At 35.5% G+C, this 9,141-nt stretch overlaps 1 annotated feature.

The window, feature by feature from the left end:
- Window positions 5,451-5,977: an enhancer, noted in NCBI's record as "NANOG hESC enhancer chr5:165184639-165185165 (GRCh37/hg19 assembly coordinates)". NCBI's record gives its function as "activates a minimal SCP1, AML or CMV promoter by ChIP-STARR-seq in primed H9 embryonic stem cells {active_cell/tissue: H9 hESC(primed)}" and the evidence as "EXISTENCE:reporter gene assay evidence [ECO:0000049][PMID:30033119]".

The raw sequence follows: 9,141 nt of genomic DNA on the forward strand, positions 1-9,141 counted from the left end.
TAATTTAATTTTTTTAATTTTTTTTTTATTTTTAGTAGAGACGAGGTTTCACCATGTTAACCGTACTGGTTTCAAACTCCTGATCTCAAGTGAACCGCCCACTTCAGCCTCCCAGAGTGCTGGGGTTACAGGTGTGAGCCACCATCCCTGGCCTACAATGAGTGTTTGAGTGCTACCCAATGTATAACAGTATTTGAAGAATCAAATACATATTACTTCTTGGGAGTTGTGGAATATGTCTGTGAGAAGACCACATTAGCACCTACTTCTATCTATTTAGTCTGTGGTAAGCCAAGGTCTCAAAAAAGAAAAAAAAAATTGCATATTTAAGTAAACAACATTATGCAATGATTAAAATGGCATGTAAATTTCATACACAAATAATGTTTTTCCCTACTACATTAAGTGTTCACATGGCTTAGATCAGGCCAGATGTTGCAAGATCTTAGAATGGTTGGGACTCAGCCCACAGTAGGGGTGAAAGAAATTCTTTAAACACTTTTCCAGAGATCAAAATTACTCCCTTCTCTTTCCTGTGTCAGCAATATATTATTAATGAAATTTTGCCTTCAATCCCTTTCTTGTTTTGTTTTCTAGCGTACTACTTTTCCTTTCTCCTGCTAATTTATGTACATCATATATCATCAAAAGTCACAGAAAATTTACAAGTTTCCCAATCTTAGCCATTAAATTATGAATCTGTTTTAAAGAAATAAACATAGGAAGAAACAAGTTTTGGAAGAAAATATTTTTAGGCAAACTGATCCTTTCTTGTCACCACTTACCTTATGATTTTAGTAATGCTTTACATTAGTGTCTGAAATTGACCAAGTGGCTTCAAAAATATGTCAACGTCACCTCTTTGGCCAGGAATCTAAGTAAATGGTGAGAAGGGGCCATTAGCTCTTAGGGAGCTGTATAATCAGAAGAAAGCTGATTAGTATTTTAGATTTTCTTAGAGAATTTGAAAAAGAAAAACAGCATATACGAAATGGTAGAAGGTAGAGTCAATGATCAGTGATGGCTAAACTGCATGATTTTAGAATTATTCACAGGAGAAGCTAGGGACACCACTGGATTTGTTGGAAAGACTATCACGACAAGATAAAGACAGGGAGTTGAGGGATACATAGAAAGGACATGAAGTAGGCAGAACAAATAAATTTCAATGTTCCAAGAGTCCAGCATTCAAGGTCTCTACCACTGACTGCAAGATAACTAGATTTTTATTCAATTTTTTTTCCAGGTCTTTCTGGCTGCCCTAGTTAATGATAAAGAGAATGCCAAGTTTTACAAGAGATTCCCCTCAAGTGTCTAACCTGGAGGAGAATATAGGTACATTATACCTATTGATTCAGATTGGAATAAATAATCCAGAAAGCAGAGTGCATGCTTCCAACTCTTGCTTATCAGAGAAACAAACAGAATTCCTTGATTTTGCCTTTCTAAATATCTTCTCTTGATTTTCCTGAGGTTTTTGAGATGTGATTAATTCGAAACACAGGTAAGTCACAGAAAAAGCTTTCTCTAGGAATTACAGTGATTTTGGAGTTATATTTGCATTCTTTTGTCTCTAAGAGTTTTTAGGCTTTCCACAGTTTTTATCTTTTGTTTTTTTTTCATGTCAGATCAAATCCTTTCTCTAAGTAATAACAAGTTTCATTAGTGAAAAATAGATCAGCTTAAAGTCATGCAAGTAAGTCTTAGTTAATGATTTTCCTTTTCAAGTAAAATACCATTTTGGTATTTATCTTATCAAAATGTAGTTGATATTTAAAGTAAACATTTTATCATAGACCTAAAATTATTTTTAAAGGCTTTTAAAATTCTTTACATGTTAAATAGCTCAGTACTCATAGTACCTTATATATTTTCCTAGTGCTTTATTAAATGTTGCTAAACACTTTAATGCTCATTATCTTATTTGGTACTAACAACACACTTGAGTTAGTTGAGGTAAGCATTTGCCCATTTGAATGTAATATTTATGCTATTTTATGGGTTAATTGACAATTTGCAAAGTGTACCATCTGTACAGCACTCGAATATGAAAACTCGGTGGGGTAGGGAAATGAAAGTAGGTAAGCAGTAGATATTTTTATTTCTAGCGGAGATATTAATAGCTAGTAGATTTTTTAAATGGCATATATAAAAATCATATTAAAAGGTCTTGTACAGTTTTTTTACTCCAACAAATCAAATTCTTTACTCAGCTTTAACATTAGATAGATCTAAATACAGTTAGAATGTGGTTATTAATTTTCAGGTTACTGACTGGTGCTTGGTGTTTTTCTATTCCTGCAGGATCAGTTAGGGTTTAGAACTTGCATATTTCCCAGGGCTCCCATAACAAAGTACCAAAAACTGGGTGATTAAAACAATAGCTATTGATTGTCTCACAGTCCTGGAGGCTAGAAGTCTGAAATCAAGGTGTGAGCAGGGCCGTGCTCTCTTTTAACGGTGATGGAGGATAATCATTTCTTGCCTCTTCCAGCTTCTGGTGTTTGCCAGCAATCCTTGCCTTACAGAAGCATCACTCGTGTTACATGCCATCTTTTCCCTACGTCTTCACATTGTTTTCACTCTGTGCATGCTGCCTTTGTGTCCAAATTTTTCCTGTCGTATAAAACTAGAAATATTGGATTAGGGTCCACCTGAATGTCCTCATTTTAACTTAATTACCTCTGTTAAGGGTAAGAGTCTTTCAAAAGACTCTATTTCCGAAGTAGATCACACTCTGAGGCACTGCAGGCTTGGACTTAAACAGATCTCTTCGGAGGGACATAATTCAATCCATAACAAGATTCAGTTATTTTCAGATAGAAAGGGCTAACCTAATATTTGTCAACTCTATATGTCTCGAGCACTTCACAGTTAAGCACATGTATGTATGTGTGTGTGTATATATATATGTACATATATATATGTACATATATATATGTACATATATATATGTACATATATATATGTACATATATATATGTACATATATATATGTACATATATATGTATCACGTTCTGTTTTCTAAGGTAGTTATTTGAGGACATTTGAGCTCTTCCACTAGATTTGATGGTCCCTCAACAAAGTAACTGTGGCTTGTTCATCATTGTACTCCCTCAAATCACTACTTCTGAGCCTTCAAAATAGTAGGAAAACAATAAATGTTGAAGTTGTATTAGATTAAGAAATAAGCTATAAAGCATATTTGGCCTGTTGTACTTAAACAGGGAGAATAATTACATGAAAAAAAACCTTCAAATGGCCAGCTTTATGTATATATAAGTGTATATATTTATACAATATATATAATTGAAAAGGAGAGATTTGCTCTTACTAAAAAAATGCTTAAAAAGAAATAATGACTACAATTCAATAGTAATAGTAACCATATTAATACTACTAGTGAAGACAACAGCTGACATTTCTGATGATATATCAGGCCCTGGGCCTGGGAGCTCTCATACATCACCTTATTTAATCTTTAGGACAACTTTTTTGAGAATGTTGAAGAGGTACGGAAATGGAGGTACAGAGATTTTAAGTGAAATTTCCAATATCACCTAGTTAATAAATGGCAAAGCTAAAAATCAAACATGTGTGTTTAACTATTACACTGATATGTATGTCAGTTGGGTGTGTTATTGTAAAATGTTAAAGAATCCATAAGTATAGTCTGTTCACAACATTATTAAATAACATACATTTAGCTATACATCAAAGGCCGTACAGGTAGAAATATACTTTGTATCATTCTAAAAAACAATTTTAAGTAGTTAATTTAAAAATAGCATTAAGCAATGCAAGAAAGCTAAACTAAAAGTAATATTAATTTAGTTAACTGTACAAATTAGTGTCCAAACCTATCTAAACTTATGTAATTACAAATCCCTGAAAACTGAAAATTATAATAAAAATGCTAATACGTGTTTAATAGGGCCAATGATAAAAATTATAGAATTAATTTATGAATCAGTTATATAATGAAAATGCCATCCAACTCCTAAAATTGTGTGGGTTATGTAATATAATTAAAATATCACTTGTCCTTGAATGTAGTATAAATTCTTAGCAGCTATTTCTATAAGATGCTATGGGAACAACCTTACAATAACAACAGAGGCTGCAGAGTTCCATATTTTACTGGTATATTGCTAAATTTTTCTAGTAATATTTAGGTGATAGAATGATAATATGCCAAAACATTGAGGAGTCAACATAGTACTGAGATTGGAAACATTAACTGTGTTAGCAGGTTTACTTTAAATAACTCCTGTATTTGACTATACATTTTAAGTTGAGCTTGCTATAATTCGAATCGTATTTGATAAAATTCACTGAAGTAAGGACATATTAAAAGCTATAACCATGAATCTTAGTATTTACCTTAGCACAAAATATCACATAAACTACCACTACAAGTGAAATTTTCCCCATTCATGTCACAGGAAACAGTATGAGTTTAGAAAATATTTGCAGAATAATAACCAATATTTTACTTTACTGCATAGTAGATTTTAAAAATTGATGGAGAAAAACATAAAATTGTAAATTAAGAGTAACAATTGAATGTCCATATTTAAATAAATTATTTTGTAAGCTTTAGGGAAGATCAACATGCAAAATCTTTCAAATAACTAGATTGAGGTGGGGATGAAAGAAAGAGGAAAAGGAAATTGTAAGTAATGCAATATTTACTGAAGGCTTACTCTTTAAGTTAGACTTGAAGACCATGAGGAAATGTTGAAAAAGACAAGATCCCAGTTTTCCAGGGAGTGACATATTAGTGACGAAGATAGAGAATTATAATGAAGTCAAATAGATAAGCCATATGCTTAGGCATCGTGGTTGTCACAAAGAAAATCAATAAAGAAGGTAATAAAAAATAACTTGAGAAGAACAGTCAGTAAAAGCTTCTCTGAGGAGGTAACATTTGTATGGAGACCTAAAGTGTAAGGCACAAACTAAGAGGTGTTTAGACAAAGCGAAAAAGAGAAAAGACTAAAGTTAAAAATCAAAGAAGTACTCCAAGAATCAAAGGCATTGCAGATTTGTCTTCACCTGGATCCAGTAGCTTAGGTTGTATTTTTTTTTTTTTTTTTTTTTTTTTTTTTGAGACGGAGTCTCTCACTGTCTCACCAGGCTGGAGTGCTGTGGCGAGATCTCGGCTCACTGCAACCTCTAACTCACTGGTTCAAGCGATTCTCCTGCCCCAGCCTCCCTAATAGCTGGGATTACAGGTATGCGCCACCACACCCAGCTAATTTTTGTATTTTTATTTTTAGTAGAGACAGTGTTTCACCATGTTGGCCAGGATGGTCTCAGTCTCCTGACCTCGTGATCTGCCTGCCTCAGCCTCCCAAAATGCTGGGATTACAGGTGAGCAACCACGCCCGGCTGGTTGTGTGTCTTCAACCGTATCATGCCTCTGCTGTTTTGAGCTATGCTTGAAAATGTAGTTGATCAGGGAGCAAAGAAAACATGAGAAGTAGATAGCAGTAGGGGGAGACAAGAACGGAAGAACCTGAATTCTGACAAGATCCAGCCAACCTGAATGAAGACCAAAGACTGAAAGAAGAAAAACAAAAGAAATGGGGAAAAAAGAACAAGGTCTCTAAGTTCAGAAGAACTGCAGAGGAGCCAAGTTTGTCAGAAAACTATAGGCAACCCCATGTGAAACGGCTCCTGGGGTTTACACGGAACATGCAATTTCTAAAGACAGTTTGAGCCTGCACTTAAAGCAGACAGGGAAATGAAATAAGAGAAGGCGCAGCAAGTTCCAGGCAATGTTATGCAGATAGAACTGGAGATAAGAGGTGGTTTAAGGAGCATTCTCACTATTTCATTTGGAATGGCAAGTGGAAAAAAAAAAAAAGGATTATCTGCCTCCTGCTCAGGCTAAGGCAAAAATCACAAAAACAAGATATCATCTAACAGTGGGTGCCTTAAGGAGAAGGGGAAAAAACCTGCCTCTCGCATGCAGCATGCAGCATAATCACTCAAGAGGTATAGAACAAAGATTAGGTTATCTAAATGTATGATAAATTACATACACAGAGCACGTATATTTTAGTACAACTTTCTTAACCCCATTATATGTACACAATTTTGAGATTTACCTATCAGCATTAGTTGTTACTGATTACAGTGGGTAATCTTGATAGAATTACTTAGCAGTGGTGTTGAAATACTGTGAATTTCCAGGAAAAAAAAAATTGGGTTTGACTGAATAGATTCATGCTACGTTTTCAAGAATGGTTGTACAACATTTGAGAGTTAGACTGTATTTTAAGAGGTGAAAAATGGGTTTGAAACCTAATCTAGATGCCTTCTACTCATAGACTGTTTACTCAGTTCTCTCCTAAAATTGTGAATTGCACAGGGTTCCCATCCAAGAGGCAAAGGGGCTTCTTGGGCTTAAGCCACAGGGAGGAAAGGGAAGAACATCCTTTGTTCAGAATGTTTTACTCTCCTCCTAGCACTTGCAAACATTGTGAAGTCCATGGTTACCATACATGTGGTTAGAATTCATATACTGCCGGGAACATACAAGTGAACTATTCTGGTAGAACAAATTAGAGGATTATGCTTGATTAACTATCTAAAATTCATTTTATCAAACATTCATTCATTGGAGGAATACTTTCGACATCTACTATGTGCAAAGGACTGTTGTAGGAACTGAAAAACCATCAGTGAATGAAACAAAGTTCCCTTAGAGCTTACATTCTGCTGTATAGAGGGAGAGAAGATGAAAAGGAATAAGTAAAATGATACCAAGTGGTGATAACTGCTAAATAAATAATAAAGTAACATCAAAGGAGTAGAGGTCCCAAGATGGGAGAGTGCTTTATATACAGTAGTCAAGGTATGCATCAGAGGTAAGATGACATTTGAACAGGTATCAGAAGGAAAGGAAGGAAGGAACCCCAAGGATCTCTGGGGCAAATGTATTCAAAGGAGATAGAGCAGTAAACAGAAGTCCTGATGTAGAAGTGTTTGATGTGTTCAGGAAGCAGTAGGAAGTCAGTCTGTTTTGAGCAGGTTAATACAAGAGAAGAACGATGGCAGACAGGATGAGAAGGTACAGAAACTTGTAGACAAATATCCAGACTTTTTTTTTTTCTCTCTAAATGAGGTAAGAAGTTAATGAAAGGTTTCATGCAGGGAAATAATATGTTATATTATTTAAATTATTTTTAATAGGTAATATACTTAAGTGGTTTAACCATAAAGATGATATATAACAGTTTCACACTAAAAGTCCTTGCTCCCATTCCTGTCTCCATTCACTTGGTTTACCTGCATTTTCAAGAAACCATTTTTAATTAGCTGTCCTGTAAGATTATCTTTAGGCAAATACAAGGATTTCTAAGTATATTTCTCTCCCCACTGCCTCACTTTTTACACCAATGTGATTGGCTATTGTTATACTCCTTTTCTCTGTGGCTCTTTTTATTAAACCATACATTCTAGAGAGTTCTATATCAATAAACAGATCACTCTCATTTTGTATACAGCTGCATGCTATTCTGTTGTATGGATATATCATAATTAAATTATCCTTATCCTATTTTTGGCCACTTCAGTTTCTAATTTTTGCCATTATAAACAGTGTCACAAAGGAAAAGGAACCCTTCTATTTAATTTCATACATGTTAGGTAGCTACGTTCTCACAAGTTAACACATTCTCAAGGTGGAGGCTGCTCTTAAGAGGTTATATGTGTGTTTTTGATAAATACTGCCAGATGCCCCTCAAAAGACTTAAATCATCTGTACTCTCACTAGCCACCACATAGGATGTAACTTGAACTTATCTTTTTAGGAATTACACTGAGCATCTTTTGATGTAATTATTAGACATTTGCATTTCATTTTTCTCCTGTTAAGTATCCATTTCTCCCATTTCCTCATTTTAAAAATCAGATCGTTGGTCTTTTTGTCAACTTCAGTAGCCTTTACTCTGTTAGGAAGAATAGGCTATAACTTGTACTGTTTCACCAATGTCTTTTCCAGTTTACAGTTTCTTTTAACTTGCTTTTATTCTTACCTCAACGATTATGTAATTAAATGTATGACTTTATAAAGCTAATTCTGACTGCTTTGCTTTGTGTGTATTCCAAGTGGACGAGGATGGCAGTAAGGAGTCAAGTTAGGAGGCTACTGTTTCTCTGCTAGAGAAACAACGGTGGCCGGGCGCAGCGGCTCACGCCTGTAATCCCAGCACTTTGGGAGGCCGAGGCGGGCGGATCACGAGGTCAGGAGATTGAGACCATCCTGGCTAACATGGTGAAACCCCGTCTCTCCTAAAAATACAAAACAATTAGCCAGGCGTGGTGGCGGGCGCCTGCAGTCCCAGCTACTCGGGAGGCTGAGGCAGGAGAATGGCGTGAACCCGGGAGGTGGAGCTTGTAGTGAGCTGAGATTACGCCACTGCACTCCAGCCTGGGCAGCAGAGGAGGCTCCCTTGCAAAAGAAAAGAAACAATGGCGGCTTACATTAACATGACAATAGCGGAAATAAAAAGGTTTTAGATCCAGTACATATTTTAAAGGTACAGCCAAGAAAATACGCTAATGGATATTGGTCGTGGAGGTGGAGAAGAGTTGAGGATGAAGCCACTATTTCTGATTTGAGCAACTTAAAGATGGTGTTGCCCTTAACTGATTCCATGGACATACAGATTTAGGATGAGACTTCCAAAGGAAGATGGTAAATAGGCAATTGGATTATCAGGTCTGGGGAGAACTCTGGGCTGGAGATATGAATTTGGAAGCAGTGAATATATAAACATTAAAAATCATAAGACTAGAAAACCGAAAGGAAATAAATGTAGTTAGGAAAGAAGAGAAAAAGAAACACTGAGTCGTGGGGAAATGGGAAGAAAGCAATTAAAAAAGATGAAAAGAGAATGGCCCTTATGGTCAGAGAGAAACAAAGAAGTCCCCAAAGTAAAGTGAAGAGATATTTCAAGAAATGAATGACTATCATTACAGAATGCTACCTATATTAGCAACGAATTTGAGTGAAACGAGAGCTGAGAATAGTTCATTTAATTTAGCTATGTGAATGACCTGACTTTTACAAGATTTATTTTGGCAGAGTGATGAGGTGAAAGAAAAAATCGGGATGTGGTGAGATT

The sequence above is a fragment of the Homo sapiens genome, chromosome 5 (assembly GCF_000001405.40).
Source record: "Homo sapiens chromosome 5, GRCh38.p14 Primary Assembly".
Lineage (NCBI taxonomy): Eukaryota > Metazoa > Chordata > Mammalia > Primates > Hominidae > Homo > Homo sapiens.